This window comes from Homo sapiens, chromosome 18, assembly GCF_000001405.40.
Source record: "Homo sapiens chromosome 18, GRCh38.p14 Primary Assembly".
Classification (NCBI taxonomy): Eukaryota; Metazoa; Chordata; class Mammalia; order Primates; family Hominidae; genus Homo; species Homo sapiens.
In genome coordinates this window covers 64,837,494-64,854,887 of record NC_000018.10, presented here as the reverse complement: position 1 = coordinate 64,854,887, position 17,394 = coordinate 64,837,494, and the positions used below count along the sequence as shown (strand labels likewise).

At 34.2% G+C, this 17,394-nt stretch overlaps 1 long non-coding RNA gene across 1 annotated transcript in view; it reads right to left on the bottom strand.

The window, feature by feature from the left end:
- The window catches only part of LOC107985178 (uncharacterized), a 125,185-nt gene that overhangs the window by 96,755 nt on the left and 11,036 nt on the right, over nt 1-17,394 (bottom strand). The window contains exon 2 of the long non-coding RNA XR_001753480.1: nt 14,184-14,282. This is a non-coding gene — a long non-coding RNA (uncharacterized LOC107985178). The remainder of the gene's footprint in view (nt 1-14,183; nt 14,283-17,394) is intronic.

The following is a 17,394-nucleotide window of genomic DNA, read 5'->3' as shown; positions in this document are numbered from 1 at the left end:
GCTCTCTTGCCTGCTGCCATGTAAGACATTACTTTGCTTCTCCTTCCCCTTCTACCATGATGGTGAGGCCTCCCTGGCCACTTGGAACTGTGAGTCAATTAAACCTCTTTCCTTTATTAATTACCCAGCCTCAGGTATGTTCTTATTAGCAGCATAAGAACAGATTAATACACTGCATTACAATGTTTCAGTCAATAAGATACCACATATATAATGGTGTTCTTATAAGATTGTAATACAGCATACGTACTTTACCTTTTCTATATTTAGATATTTTTAGATACACAATTACTTGTGTTACAATCACCTACCGGTATTCAATGGAGTAAAATATTGTATAGGTTTGTAACCTAGATACCATAGCTATATCATACAGCCTAAGTGGAGGCTATCATATCTAGGTTTGTATAAGTACACTCTATGACATTTGTACAATGATAAAATAACCTAAGGACAAATTTCTCAGACTGTATCTCTGTCATTAAGTGATGAGTGACTATACATGAAACAACTGCAGTTAAGGTGAGGGGGAGTTAACTGTAGTTAAGATGGGGGAGGGAAGAGCAGGAAAATGCTTAGCTAAGCAACTTTGGAGATGAGTGGAGATGCTAAGACTAAAGGCAAAAGAAACAGCACACTAGTACTGTATTATAGTTGATAAAGTTATTTTTGATGGAGGCGCAAGTGAACAATTTGGATATTGATATACATCATGTGTATTGGAATAAATTAAGTAATTGGATATGTGTGCTAAGAACCATGTTTTCCACTCTTGGAGTGGGCATATACAGATAAGCAAAGAGAAGAGTGAGAATAATCTATATGATAAGTGTTAGACTTGGAGACACAGCATAAAATCATGATTTGCTTAATATAGATACAGATAATTACAGAAATAATTATTATAGACATAAGTATATACATGAGTTAGTTCACAAAACACATAATCACACACATATGTATGTATGTATGTATCCATATTCTATCAGCTTAGGAAATGTGGAAGCAATGTCACCCCAGTAGCCTTAAGGGTACCTCAGGCTCGTGACTTGGTTTCTAATATGATTCTCTGAAAAAAGAGACTAAAGCTCCATGAAGAAATGACTGAATCATTGAATAGGCAGGAAATATACAAAATGAGCCTGGAGCATCTCGTGATAATGTCAGAAAGAACCGTCCCCTACCCTCAAAAAGCACAATGATGGGGGCATATAAATGAGACATAGGAGCCAACTGAAAGTGCCCCCACATTGCAAAAGCTGAAAGAATAATGAGCATCAAAAAAGACAACATTCAATTAAAACATCAAGCATAAAATAATTATCTGAGTCTCTGCAGATATAAATAAATAAATAAAATATAAATAAATGCTGAAGAATAGACAAACTTTCCACGTAAAGGAATCTCAAAAAAATTACGTAGGTATTCTGTTCTCAAAAAGACAGAGCATAACTTTCCATTCTTAAGTGTGGGCTGTGCACTGTGACTTCCTTCCAATGAGTACATTGGTAAGTGGGAATGAAAAAAAAAAATAAAGAAAAGAAACCTAACAAATACTCTCTCAGCCTGCTGATCATGGTAAACTTTAACAGCTACGTCATGTTGATAATACGTGCCCTTCATTTAATATGATTAAAATGAAGTTTTTCCATACGATTCCTCAGAAAGACTCATCATGCAAGCATAATCATATGGGAAAACTTTTCACAAAATTTCAGATGAGGGACGGTTTATAAAATACCTAACCAGAACCTCTGAAACTGTCAAGGGCTTCAAAAACAAGGACAGTCTGAGAAACTGTCACACCTAAGGAGGGCCTCAGGAGAGATGGCTAAATGTAATGTGGTATCCTGCATGACATTCTGGAATAGAAAAAGAACATTAGGTGAAAACTAAGGGAATGAGAATAAAATATGAACTTAAGTTTATGGTAATATATCAATATCGGTTCATTAATTTTACTAAATGTATCCATGCTAATTGAAGGTGTTAATAATAATGGTGTGTATTGAGTAAGAAGTACATGAGATCTCTGTAGTAGCTTCACCATTTTTTACTCAATCTAAAATTGTACTATAACTTTAATGATTATTTTAGAACAAAAGTTATATAAAGACAAAATGTCAGAAAAAATCATGCAGCCGGTTCTTTTGCAGCCGAAGCCTTTCCTCTTCTACAATGAACAAGAGTACTTCCCAAGAGAGGCAGTCAGCTTCTCTCAATCAAGAAGCAAACAAATTTTTTGTGCCTTGCTATATTTGCACATGGGAAGTCACGCAAAATAGATTTAAGTAGGACGAGGACCAGTTTGGGCTTACATTTATGTACACACATTAGATGAAAATTGGAAAGGTTCTGTGTGTTATAAATATTGTTTTTTGGACACCAAAGATTAGCTGAGTGCCCAGAATACTCACCGGTTTGAAAGCATGTACTCAGTAGCCAAGGCCTGATCAGCTGCTACTTAACCGTGGCATTAAATATACACCCTGCTGTTTTTGCTGACATTTTGTCCTGTACATCTCCATCATCTCCATCAACTAAATTTGGTAATTCCTAAACTAAAAGCTTCACGAATTAAGGGATTTGTCTTCCTAACTATGCACCTTATTTAGAAATTACTGCTGACAACTACATACTTCCTAAGTGCATTCTGAAATCATGTAATTAGCTGTTGGATACTTGTATTGGGATGTGTAATTCAAAACTCTAAGTACTCGTGATACATTAATACTCGCTCTAACATAGTGAAAGCCTGTGGCTTATGTTTGCTTCTTCCCTTTTATTATCAATCATTTATTTAGTTCAGTACAACTAAGACTTAGAACATACCAACTGTATTAGTCAGGTTCTTTAGAGGGACAGAACAAATATGCCAGATGTGTATATGAGAGGGAGTTTATTAAGGAGTATTGACTCACGGGATGGCAAAATGAAGTTCCACAATAGGCCGTTTGTGAGCTGAGGAGCCAGGAAGCCAGTTCAAGTCCCAAAATCTCATAAGTAGGGAAGCGGACACTGCAGCCTTTCAGTCTGTGGCCGAAGGCCTGACAGCCTCTGGCAAACAGTCCAAAAGCTGAAGAACTTGGAGTCTGATGTTCGAGGTCAGGAAGCATCCAGCACGGGAGAAAGATGAAGGCCAAAGACTCAGCAGGCCTGCAGTTCCATCCTCTCCTGTCTGCTTTTTTCTAGCTGTGCTGGCGGCTGATTAGATGGTCCCCACCCAGATCGAGGGTGGGTCTGCCTCTCCCAGTCCACTAACTCAAATGTTAATCTCCTTTCGCAACACCCTCACCGACACACCCAGGAACTATAATTTGCATCCTTTCATCCAATCAAGTTGACACTCAATATCAACCATCATACCAACTATAATGTTAAGGAAGAAAAACTCTATCAAGATTTGGTCCAAGTTTTTGATTTACTAAGATAAATAATTAAGTATATGTCTCTATTTGAAAGCATAAAAAGTGAGGTTTTCACAACTATATTGTATCTCCTCTAAGATGTTGTGAATATTAAATGATATAAAGCATACAAAATTAGTTATCTTTGTTATATAGAATATTCAGGACTCAAGAGTATTAGCTGGATAGTTGGCTAATTATTGACAAAGCCTACCAATAAGCTCCCAACCCACGCATAATAGCGTTTGGGATATAAGCGCACTGATTAAGCCCTGGGCCAAAGAACATTCCTAATAAGTTTCACCTTTGAAAATGAATCCTCAACACTGGTGCATCTTTTGAATTTCTCACTCATTTTAATAAAATATAAAGTATAACAATAATAAATGTTATGTTTTACCTGCCAATATGAATCCAAGCCAGTTTTAAAGGAAACACATTCAAAATGACACATGGTGACAGATTACAGTAAAGTCTGAAGAAGGCATAAAGTTCTGCAAAGTCTACACTTTGGCAGGTCTTTTGGTTTTACTACCAGTTCCTTGCCAAAATCCTATTTGATAGATGAGAACAATTTGTCTTTTTGGACATTCATGAATGCGACTCTGCAGACATTGAATTACAAGTACAGAGGTGAAATTCACTTTTCATATTTGAATTTGGCAGATGAATATGCAAGTAGAATTAAATGTCCCAGATGTCTTGCCAATTTAAACTACAATAAATCTAGATATTCAGACTAATTCAACTAAATCACAGTATCTTGTACAAATAAGGCAGGCATTTTATGTATGTTTGATATTGATACTGATGATACTAATAGCATCTTTAAAAATACACATAGATAATAATTTATTCATTATTGAACAGTTTTAGTCTGAAGGATAGAGTTTAAGATGCCCACTCAGCACAAGCTCATTTGATATGCAATTTTGAGGTGTCTCTGGTTTATTAGACATTGCAAACACAGGTTGAGATCTCAGAGAATATTATGAATGACATAAATATCTGATATTTTGCATAAATTGAAGGAAATAGCACTTCTAAAGTATTGTTTATGAAGCTAGGCCATTCAGAATTAGAAAGACCAACGTATCTCTAAGAAAAACCACCACGTAAATAAATGTTCACAGTATAAAGTGTAAGCACTTGACAGACATATGTACAAAAATTCATGACATCCTTCTAAGAGAAAATAATATCTGAAGTCACTGATCATTCACTGTGTCTAGAGGAGACACATAGTAAACTCTCCTAAATCTTATTGTGACAAATGTGAAAAGGCACCCATGGAATTAAGTATGAAATATTATTTTGTGACAAGAGAGTAAAATGCCTTGGGTATCTTACTTTGGGTTTGAAATTTTGTTCTGTCTGCCATGACAACTATTCAAAGAATTTTAATTAGAATAATGACAGATTGGAATTGTGTTTCAGAAATATAATTCTAGTCACAATATTGTGAATCAACTAGAAGGGATAGAGGGGAAAGACTTGCAATTCTTGAAGTGAAAATTATATAACATTAAACTAACTTAGTAACAATGAGACTCGACTCAAGAAAATGATTTAAGGCACACTTAAGAAGTAAAAATGACAGGAATTTGTGGACTATTAAATGTGGAAGATAAAGGGGAAAAGTAAAAGTAAGGAGAGAGATATATTCATCATTATACTCACTTTCAATAAATGTCTACATAATTAAAAAAATTCAAACATGTCTCTACATAGTATCAGTGCAAAAGGGAACACATATAGAATAATTGTGGACTTAACAGGAAAGGGAGAAATTCAGTTTCCTGCCTATGATTAGTAGTATACTCAGGCAACATGTGATCACTGACCATTACATATTGCAAACAAAGACTTAATATTCAGAAAAAATGAAACTGCAAGAAATACTTAGGGCTTAACAACAATGAACTTGAGGTGATGAGCATCTATAAAACATTGTCCATGGAACAACCCATGCAGAAATAATGAAAGAAGAATCCTTAACCCAGAGGGGGAAAGTTTTCAAGTTCTTACAGCAAGATGTTACACAAGATATGAGTGTATCAGTATCTAAATGGAGTTACAAACGGGAATAGGAAAAAAAATTGAAAGTTGACCTGGGGAAGTTAGTTTTAATAATGTTAGGCTTCATAATCTCCTAAATATTTTGATTTTTTTCTTCTTAGATCTGAGTGTGATAGTGAGGCTTAAAATAAAAGAGAGTTTAAACAATGATTAATTCAGATAAGGAAAACCTTTGCCCTCAATACTCCAACAAATATACATTTAGCAAAATATAGCTTAAATGACATTCTGTTGCCCTTCCTTTTGTAAAAGTTTCCATAGAGAGATGAACCTACAATTTCTCGATAAGTGAATTTAAACAAACTGCAAGTACTTTTTCTTTTTCTAACTAAGAAGTCATGTGTCTTTCAGAGAATCATTTAAAATAAAATTTATAATGACAAGATAATTTGCTAGAGGATTTATGGTTACAAAAACGATAGAACAAGCATTTTCTAAAATATCTAGTTTTGGGTAACAAATGGAATAATAAAACACAAATGTAGCATTTCAAAGGCTCTAAGCTTTGTGATGTGTAAGTGATTGTTCTAATTTAGGGGAATAAAACTCCTCTGTCAATATATTCTTACCTCAAACATATGCATATTAGATTTATGGGAGTTTTCTATATATTTGCATATACACATACTTATTTGTATACACATGTATCACTTGGGCTATATCTATGAAACAATTATCTAGAAAAAAAATAACAAAAATCCAAATAAATTTTTGGTATTAGTACTTTATACTTTATAGGGTAAAGCCTGAAATTTGACACAATTCTTAGAAATAACACAATGCAATACATGTATATGCCAGTTGTCCTGCAAAATATTGACTTAAGAGACACTTAATCTCATTTTGCTGAAATTGCTCAAAATCTGAGGAGGCCTCTTTTGGAAACACTTTCAGAGACATTTTACTGGTGAATTAAGAAAATCAATCTCAATTACTTTAAATTCATACCTAATTTTAAACTCTAAAGAGATTTTCTCAATGTGATTGCTCACCGTATTTACCAGACTAAAATCTAAAAGGCTCTCAGCTATTAAAAACAATTAAATTCTACCCTAAAGTATGAAATACTGCTTTAACAGTGGAAATTAAAAAGCACAATCTAAAATAAAGCAGTTCTAAAAGAGTTCTAGTGTTTTTAAAATTTGCATGTGGGGTTATTTTTTAATTAACAAAATTTATTTGTAAAGCAGTGTTAGTTTCAAAGCAAGATTCAAAAATAATAATAATAATAATAATACGGGGAGATTCCACATAACCTCCTGCCCCACACATACACAACCTCCCCTCTATGACATACCTTTCCATAGTGATCCATTTCTCACAATCAATGAAGCTACATTGACACATCGTTATTACCCAAAGTCCCTAGTTTATGTTAGTGTTCACTTTTGGTGTTGTACATTCTATGGATTTTAACAAATGTATCAGGACATATATCCACTATTGTTGCATGATACCGAATAGTTTAATTGCCCTGAAAATCCTCTGTGTTCTGTCTACTCATCCCCCCTCCCTTTAACCTCTGGCAACCATTGATATATAGTTTTTACTTTCTTCATAGTTTTGTCTTTTCCTAAATGTTATATCGTTGGAATCATACAGTCCTGTTCAAATAAAGTGCTTTCTCTTAATAATATGCACTTTAGTTTCCTCCGGGTATTTTCGTGGTTTGATAGCTTTCTCCCCCGCTTTTTTAAGCACCAAATAATGTTCCATTGTTTGAATGAACCACATTTACGTATCTGTTCACCCACTAAAGGGCATTTGGTTACTCGCAAGTTTTGGCAGTTCTGAAAAAAGCTGCTATAAACACTCGTGTGCAGGTTTTTGCATGGACATATGTTTTCAGTGCATTTGGGTAAATATCAAGGAGTGTTGTTGCTGGATCATGTGGTAAGAGTATGTTTAGCTTTATAAGAAACTGCCAAAATGACTTCCAAAGTAGCGGTACCATTTCACATTCCTACCTGCAGTTCCTGTTGCTCCACATCCTTGTCAGCATTTGGTATTGCCAGTGTTTTGGATTTCGACCATTCAATCGTATGGGTAGCGGTATCTTATTGTCATTTTAATTTGAAATTCTCTAATGACATGTGACGTCGAACATCTTTTCGTATCCTTACTTGCCATCTGTATATCATCTTTGGTGAGGTGAGGTATATATAGTCAGTTCAGGACTCTGTAATAAAGGACTCTAGGCACGGTAACTTGTAGATAACAGAAATTTATTTCTCACAGATCTTGAGGCTGGAAGCTCAAGCATCTTAGAGTGCCAGCATGGTTCAGCTTTCATGAGGGCCCTTTTCTAGGTTGCAGGCTGCTGACTTTTCATTGTATCTTATCATAGGGGAAAGAAAGCTATGCAGCTTTCTGGCCTCTTAAGTGTACTAATCCTATTCACGAAGGCTCGGCCCTCACAACAAAGGCCCTGCCTCAAATACCATCACATTCAGGTTAGGTTTTCAACATGCAGATTTGGGGACAGTGGGGAGGGTTCAAACATTCAGTCCGTTGCATGTCTGTTCAGGGCTTTTGCTTATTTTTTAAATCAGGTTGTTTTCTTATTGATGAGCTTTAAGGCTTCTTTGTATATTACAGCCAACAATCCTTTATCAGATATGTCTTTTGCAAATATATTCTTCTAGTCTGAATCTTGTCTTTGTCATTGTCTTGACTTTTTGCAAAATAGAAGTGTTTAATTGTCATGAAGTTTAGGTTATCGATTATTTCTTTCTTAGATCATGACTTTTTTGTTGTATCTAAAATGTCACCACCTAGCTCAAGGTCATCTAGCCTTTTCCTATGGTATCTTCTAGGAGTTTTATAGTTTTGTGTTCTACATTTAGGTGTATGTCCTATTTGGAGTTAATTTTTGTGAAGATATAAATCTGTGTCTAGGTTCATTTCATGCATGTGGAAGTTCAGTTGTCCCAGCACCATTTTCAGAAAAAGCTTTTTTCCACTATAGTGCCTTTGCTTCTTTGTCAAAGATCTGTTCATTATATCTACGTAAATCTATTTGCGGGTTCTTTATTCTGTTCCATGGTTCTAAATGTCTATTATTTTGAAAACACCACAGTGTCATGATTACTGTAGCTTTATAACAAGTCTTAAAGTTGGGTAGTATCAATCCTTCACCTTTGTTCTTTTTCTTTAATATTGAGTTGGTTAATCTGGATCTTTGTCCTAACATATAAATTTTATAGTCAGTTTGCCAATAGCCACAAAATAACTTGCTATGATTTTGATTGGGAAGGCATTGAATCTATAGATTAATTTGAAAAGAGCTGATATCTTGGCAATATTTAGTCTTTCTATCCATGATCATGGAATATCTCTCGACTTCTTTAGTTCTTCTTTTATAACTTATCAGAGTTTCATAGTTTTTCTCACATAGGTCTGATAGATAGATGATACAGTTAGATAGATAGATAACAGAGAGATGTATACCTAAGCATTTCATTATTTTTGGGTGTGTAATGCAAATGGTATTGTGTTTTTAATTTCAAAGATCCTTGTCTTATTACTGATATATAGGAAGGTGATTGACTTTTTACACTAACCTTGTATCCTGAAACCTTGTTATAATAATTTCTTGTTAGTTCCAGGAATTTTTATGGTCAATACTTTCAGATTTTATACATAGATGATCATGTATCTGTGAACAAAGTTTTATTTCTTCTTCCCCAATCTGTATATATTTATTGCCTTTTATTCTCTTATGGTGATAGCGAGGATATCTAGATGATGTTGAAATATTGTGGTAAGAGGGGACATTCTTGTCTTGTTTCTGATCTTAGCTAGAAAGCTTCAACTTTCTCACCATTATGTATGGTGTTATGTGTACATGATTTGTAGATGTGTGTTATCAAGTTGAAGAAGTTCTCCCCATTCCTAGTTTGCTGAGAGTTTTTATCATGGATGGATTTGATTTTGTCAAATAGTTATCCCAAACCTATTGATATAATCATGTGATTTTTTTCCCTCCAATTGCATCTTCAAGTTGTGTGAGTGAAAGTTGGGCATCAAATTATTGGCAGGAATGAGTCAAATTGGCTTCTGAGTGACATCTGTGTTACACACATGCTCAGAGTGACTGGTTTTGACATTCTCTGTCAGCATTAGTTCAACATGTTTGAACAACACAAAAATTTAGACATTTTAAAAATAAAACACAAATTATTAAAATTGATTTTAAAATACCTAAAACTTATACATAAAATAAAAGGAAGACCTTAAGGGAAAAAAGGGTAACAGAGTTACGGCTTCAAAGACATTGTATCAGACACTTCCACAATAGGTCATGATGAAGTTATGAGTAATGGATTTATCCTCCCATTTTAATCAACTCAAAATCAGGACAAATATATAAAACAAAGGTTTCTAGACAACGGGCAGCAGAAAATGGAAGTCAGTGATGTTTAAAAGAAGAGAAACTAATCAGGGGAACCCTACAATTGCCCAGATTGCTTCTAAAAATGTTTGCTAGCAATAATGCAGATGGCAGATACAAGCAGAGATTGACAGCTTTCTTAAAGTAAAGATACAGAGCTCAGAAGGTGCACAAGGCCTCCTAGACATTACTGCAGAAACCACTATAGCTGATGTAAAATAGACCCAATTTAATGAGCCATCTAGGAGAAGAGAATAGATTGATAGTAGAATAACATCATTGAAGTTTATCCCATCCCATTGTGGTAACATTGCTGACAGCTGGCTCAACCAGGTTTGAGTTAGATCAATGCAGGAAAAAGGCTAATCTACCTCTTAGATGGTGGAGGCTTTCTTGTCTATCAACACCTCTTCTCTAATCGTTCTTATATTTTTAAGTGGTTTGAGTGATTTTTCTGGCTTCCCATCTATATAAAGATTTAGACCATGAAAGTGCAGGATCACTATATACTAGAATGTTGGTCAATGGCACATGCAACTGTCATTCATTAGCCTAAGTTGTGAGGCAATGAGATCTGCGGAGAACTTCATACACTTCACTTCAATTATGCAAGTTCTATCCAAAATAAACCTGTATTACATTTGTATTGTGTGGCACTGTGGTGTATAGCCGTGACCCTTTGGCACACCAGGGTATAATACAGCATGCTATTGCAGAGAAGAATTTCCTCCAAGAATAGAAAATGATAGAAGTTATGAAATAAAATATTATTTGAAAGCATCAGAGGGCTATGGAAGCAATGAAGACTAGCTACATGAAAATTTTAGAGAGAACATAACTGTTCCAAGGTGAGTTGATAATAGCCAGCTGTCCCCTGTCTTCCACAATGCTCAGTGTTTGTCTATCTTGGGTAAATAAATAAATAAATAAATAAATAAATAAATATTTATTATCTGTTTTACAGGATGTTCTGTGCCTTGTATGATGCTAATTAGCAAATGCTGGATTCTATACTCACAGTGTGAAAAATAAAAATATCTCTGGACATTATTAATTGTCCCTCTGGGGGCAACATAGCTATAGCTGAGAACCGCTGAACTAGAATAACTAATTAACATCATGTTGCATATAATGTACATGGCCAGTTACCTCTGAGGAATACTTTCTGAGTTCTAGGATGACACAGGAGACTGAAGATAAGGGATTCTAACAGGTAGCTGGAAATTTTAGATGAACATATTTGAAGGAAGCAAAAAAAGAAAGGACCTCTCGGAGAGAAGAAAACTACCTTGAATACACAGTTGATCTCTCCTCAAGTTATTTAACAAGTTGTATAACTGCATATGGAGTTACAATAAAGAACCTAATTTTAAAAACTCTGAAGATCACAGTGTAATTTCCCATAATCTTTTAGCACTAAAGAGGTAGAGACCCACCAAACTTGTAGCCCAAATTCTAACAAGGCCAGGCCCTAGGCACGTAAGTTAGCTAAACTAGACTGAGACTTACAAAACTTAAACCTAGCTATGACTCAGCTTGATAATTAATTTAGTGATCAGAATCCCATCTTATGGCTTCTATGTGAATTCCTAAAATAACATCTAAAATAACTAGATGCGCAAAGACATAAAAGCATGTAACAAATAATCAATAAAACTACCAGTGAATAGAAGTTAACACACAGATAATTCAGGCTTCAAATTTAAAAGGCAAGGCATTTAAAATATGGTTATTAAGTTTTAAAAAATAGAGTAAAAGCACAAGCATTGTAGACTAATGATGAAGTTTATCAGATAATTTGAATTTATATAAAAGAATTAAGTAGTCATTCTAGGACAGAAAATATCACATATATATAAATAAGCTAACTATATATGTAACTTTAAATATGTGTGTGTATATATACATACATATATCTCAGAATTAAGAATATATATGTAACTTTAAATATGTGTGTTTATATGTCTATATATCTATATATATATATATCTCAGAATTAAGAATTGAATGGATAGCTGCAACAGCAGACTAGGCACTACAAAACATAAAACTGATGATCTGAAGAACAATGAGAAAAAAAGAAAAATAGCATTGATATATGCATAATTGGAGGCCTTGAAAGAGAAGACAGAAACAAAATTGAGGCAGAAGTAATATTGATAGATACATGGCTAAAAACTTTGCAACATAGATTCCAGAAACTCTGTGAATGTATATCCCAAAGAAGGATAAATGCAAGCAACACTACAAGTAGAAACATTTGAATAAAACCATTGAAAGACATAGATAAAGAATATACTCTAGGCCGGGCTCAGTGGCTCACTCCTGTAATCCCGGCACTTCGAGAGTCCATGGCGGGCCAACTACTTGAGGCCAGGAGTTCAAGACCAGCCTGTCCAACATGGTGAAACCCCGTCTCTACTAAAAATACAAAAATTAGCTGGGCATGGTGGCAAATGCCTGTAATCCCAGCTACTCGGGCGGCTGCAGCACAAGAATCTCTTGAACCCAGGAGGTGGAAGTTGCAGTGAGCTGAGATTGCATCACTGCACTCCTGCCTGAGTGACAGAGTGAGACACTGCCTCATATATTATAATAATAGTAATAATATACTCTAAAATGAAGCAGAGTAAGAAAAGACAAGTTCTTTTTAAAGGAGCAACACTAAATCTAACAAATGACTTTCCTATAGAAACAATGAAATCCACAAGTTAAGAGCAGCATATTTAAATTGCTGAAACAAAATATCTCCAAACATCAGTTTCAAAAGTAAAAGTAAAATAAAGATATTTCAAATGAACAAAAGCTATGGAAATTTGCTTTCAACATTCCTGCATTAAACAAATCTTAAAAAAGGAGAAAAATTAATCCATTTGGAAGCATAGAAATACAAACGGGAACTCTGGAAAGGTAAATATGTGAGCCACGATAAATGAGTATTGACAGTAAAACATAGTAATTCATTATAATATATTGTGAAGTTTAAAATACATGTAAAGGTCTCATGTATGCAAGCATTAAAACATAGAAAAGCGTACAAGTTATAGTTTATTTTAAGGTTTTAAGATTTTGTCAATACTGGGAAAGGGGTAAAAGTAATTCATCAAGCTTTACAAACCCTTAACATGTGAACTTTTTATACAGGTTGATCACTATACTTTTATACATGTGTAACTTATGCAGTATATTGGTATATTTTATAGCTATATGCATATGCAAGCATAAGTACCTTTATATAACTATATTTATTGAAAACATCTGGAAATATACATACCAGTATATTACTAGTGGTTATTTCTTAACTTGGGAATCATTGGAAAATTTTATTTTGTTTTAAAAATTAAAACATATTTCTAGAAAGAGAAATTATATCATAGAATAAAATGAATAAGAAAATGCAGAATCAGTAGAGCAAAGCAGGAGGGGAAATAGGAAGAAGAAAGGCAGGCAGAAAAGTTGAGCTAGGATAGATTACAGCGTCTAAAGACCTGTGTTTCAACCCTAACTTACTGTTTCTGATTGTGTGGGGGGGAAGAAAAAAAAGAAAAGTTCAAATACTTATCTCCTTCTTTCATTGACCAAGAAGACCTTAACATTCCTCTCAGGTTGATTAAACTTTAGACAGGCTTCCTTAGGACTCTAGGAACCTGACCTCCTTTTTCTTAAGAGCATTTACTTCAGAGAACTTGTAATTGTAAAATCCTTTCTCTTTTGATATGTAAATCTTTAAAGCTTCTTGCCAGTTTTGATATCCAGAAATATATTTCTCATGTACCTGGGAATCATCCTTTTGCAATGTAATTATCAAGGAAATAGGCCCCCTAAGTCCCAGTTTCTGTGGGAGGGTAGAGCCTAACTTCAGCTGGAGTCTTGCTACAAGTTGTAAAACTACCTCTTGTTATGAAGATAGGAGAGTTTACTTTTCCTCTGGGGAAAGCCAGTTAGCAAACACAGATAGTCTACGATCTCTCTGACCCCAGCTCTTAAAAACTCTACAACTTTTATTTCATCAACATTGAATCAGATTGAGTTCTAGATTCTCTCCCCTATTGTAACAGCCTTTAGTGAAATATTTCCTGCTTGATTAACTTTGGTGTAACTTTTGATTTGGCACTATAAAAAAGTGATTATAATAAGATTTATATATTATTATTATAAAGGAATGTGGGAAGATCAAATGTTGTAAAGGTTGGAGAACTGCTTCATAAACAGAAAGTGGACACAGAGTTGAAAACAGGTGAGTTCACAGGAAAAAAACAGACCAGAAAATCATTTCAATGTACTAGAAGTATCTTGAGACTTACCATCTATTAAATATGATGCTATTAATTAATTCTCAGTATCCATCTCTGGAAGGCTTTATTTTGGAAGACTAATTTCAGTGCTCAGGATAGATTTTTTTTCTATGACAAAACAGATAATAAATATTGATTTTTAAATACGAAATTTTAGTGACCATAATTTAAATCTTATTTGAGAGACAAAATAACTTCAGTTGCAACATTATTATTTTAAATAATAATGTTAAATTATTTTAACATTATTTTGTTAAATATGTTAAAACAAATTTAAAAATGTTAAAAAATTTGTTAACAAATTATGTTAAATTATTTTAAATAATTCTGAGTGTTAGGAACAATGCAATGAAAGTTTATAGGAGCAAAAGAACCTCTGTTAATAAGGATTCTACTTTGTTCTTGTAAGGAAAATCCAGTTTTAAATGGCTTAATTAAAATTGGTTAGTTTTTACTCACATAGTACTAGGCATAGGGCACAGGTCTGGTGTGGGCTGCTTGTTAGCACCAGTGTCCTGATAACCTTTTTATCTTTCTGCTCTAACATTTACAGCATTTGGCCTTTTCTGATGTATGCTACTTTCTCAGAGAACAATGGCTGACCTAACTCTAGCCATGTCCACTTTGCAGACTGAAGGAAGGAAAATTGGTGGGTGAAGGAGAAAATGTCTGTATCGGAAAAGCAAATTATCTGCTGGTCCTCCCTAGAAAATTTCTGTCCACAAGTAATCTATCCCAAGGGTATCCATAGCAGCAAGAGAGGCTGATAATTCAGATTTTTTTTTCTGAGAACAGTGCCACACAGAACAAAATCAGAATTTGATCAATGAAGATGAATAGCTAAGTAGGAGTATATGCCACAACACCTTACAATGCTTCCTAGGAGAATATCATGCAGTTATGATCAATTGTCACACTGATCTCAAATATGTGAGTTGAAAATTAAATGATCTCACCCCAAAGCAACTCATATTGGTTGACATGGTCAAACATTAATTTAGGCACTTAAGGTCAATAGATTCAAAATACTTTCCTTAGCTTACAAAAAAAAATTTTATAATACTATATTAGCAATATCTGCCTGCATGTCTATCAAACATTTTGCATAGCACATTGATTTAATTCTCACAGCATTCTATGAGATGAATATTCATCCTTTTTCACAGATGAGGAACTCAATGATTCAGAGAAATATGCCTGTTTATATCATTGTGGTTTTATATTAATCAATTAACCTATGAATTTTTTATCTGATATGGGCAAATGGAGTCATTAATTTAAGATTTTTTAACATTTAACTAAACTTCTAGAACTGTGTAAAGGTTGGCAATGTCAACTAGCTTTTTGAATAATTGAATGAAGCCTGGACAAAATTTTACAAAGCCTATCCTAAATGAATAAACATTTGTTTTGCTGAAAGCCCTTTGGTGTACATGGCATGTGTATGTATGTACTTATGTTTATGGCTGTGTGTGTGTGTGTGCATTTGCAGATTGTGTAAAAAAGAGAATAGAACAACTCTATGATTGCTAATCCTGAGCTCTTGGTTTATAGCACTTAATGCATCTTACTCCATCTAATATAGTTTAGGTGATTGTCCCCTCCAAATCTTATGTAGAAATGTAATCTCCAATGTTGGAGGTGGGGGCTGGTTGAAGGTGTTTGGGTCGGGGGTATATCCCTCATGAATGTCTTGGTGCTGTCCTCATGATGGTGAGTGAGTGTTCGCAAGACCTGGTTGTTTAAAACAGTAGGTCACCAACATTCATCCCTTGCTCCTGATCGCACCATGTGAGGTGCCTGCTCCTGCTTCACCTTCTGCCATGACAATAATCTCCCTGAGGCCTCACCAGAAGCCCAGAAGATGCCAGCACCATACCTCCTTTACAGCCTGCAGAACAGCAAGCCAATGAAATCTCATTTCTTTATAAATTTCTCAGTCTCAGGTATTTCTTTATAGCAACACAAAAATGGCTTAAATCACTATCTCTTTCAATCTTTCAGTTCTAATCAAAATATTTTCCAAATGTGTGATTAGTAATATATAGAATATAGCCTATAGCATATTAATTTAAATAAAATTCTCTAGAATTTTTGATATTATATTGAAAATAGAATTCACTTTTACAATATCATGCAATGCACTTTTATTGCATAGGATATTTTTGTTGTTTTTACTAGTTTATATAGGTAATATTGAGAGTTTCCATCCACAATGAGGAACCGAGAGATCTAAGACCTTTTGGAATCTGAAAGCTATTTATTTCAATGGAAAGTAGACTGTGAAGTCTATACTGGAAGTTGTTCCCATCTAGCTTATGCAAAAAACAATTTCTTTTCCTGAAGTTACAGCCTACAATGAAACATTTCAACAGTAAAACTGTAGTGAGGAAGGAGTAAATTTCTTAATAGGGCTTCATAAATAGGGTATATACCTAGAGATTTGGAGATATGCGGGCATCAAACTATCAGCAATTTGTTGAATTGCTTTGTGAGGGGTTTAACACTGCATTTAGCAACTAAGAAGCTGGGAGAAAAATTCTGAATTAGATATCTCAAATATGCAAGGCAAACAAAAATTAACTCAGCATTTATGAAGCCACAGTAGAAACTGGCTGAAAAGATGTTTCTTTGTTTCTGAAATATAATAAAAGGATGATAAATCGTGTTTTTTTGTTTTAATTAAGTTGGGTAAATGACTAACAAAATCATTGTTCCAAAAGCATAGTTCTATTGAGAGAAACACCAGATTGCCTCTAAATTATATTCTCCCCCAATGCTTAATTTGCCACCATTCTATTCATTTGGTATCTCCGTCCCATATTGAGAGACTGTGAGAGTAATACAGTATTGCTGCAAGAATCATCCTAGAAAACATAGAAGATATCTTTATCAATGCAGTGGTCTTTACTGTTAGCTTTACATTTGGCAGGCATTCAAGGTCTCTGTGGACACAAAAATTCCTCTTCGTAAGTTTTCCCACTTTATTCAAAAAATAATTTACATATTTTTTAGGTTTATTCATGTTTTAGGAACTTTTCTGTGCCCCATCTGGTAGCTGGGAGTAATGTTGTACATTTATCTCATTAATTCATAGGGACTTGTTCAAATTTTGCTTTAAGGACTATTTCAAGTTTTGACATAGATTTGACTTGGGCTCTACTAAAAGAAAAAATATATATTTTTTAATCTTATTTTTGCTACACATGCTTAAAATACA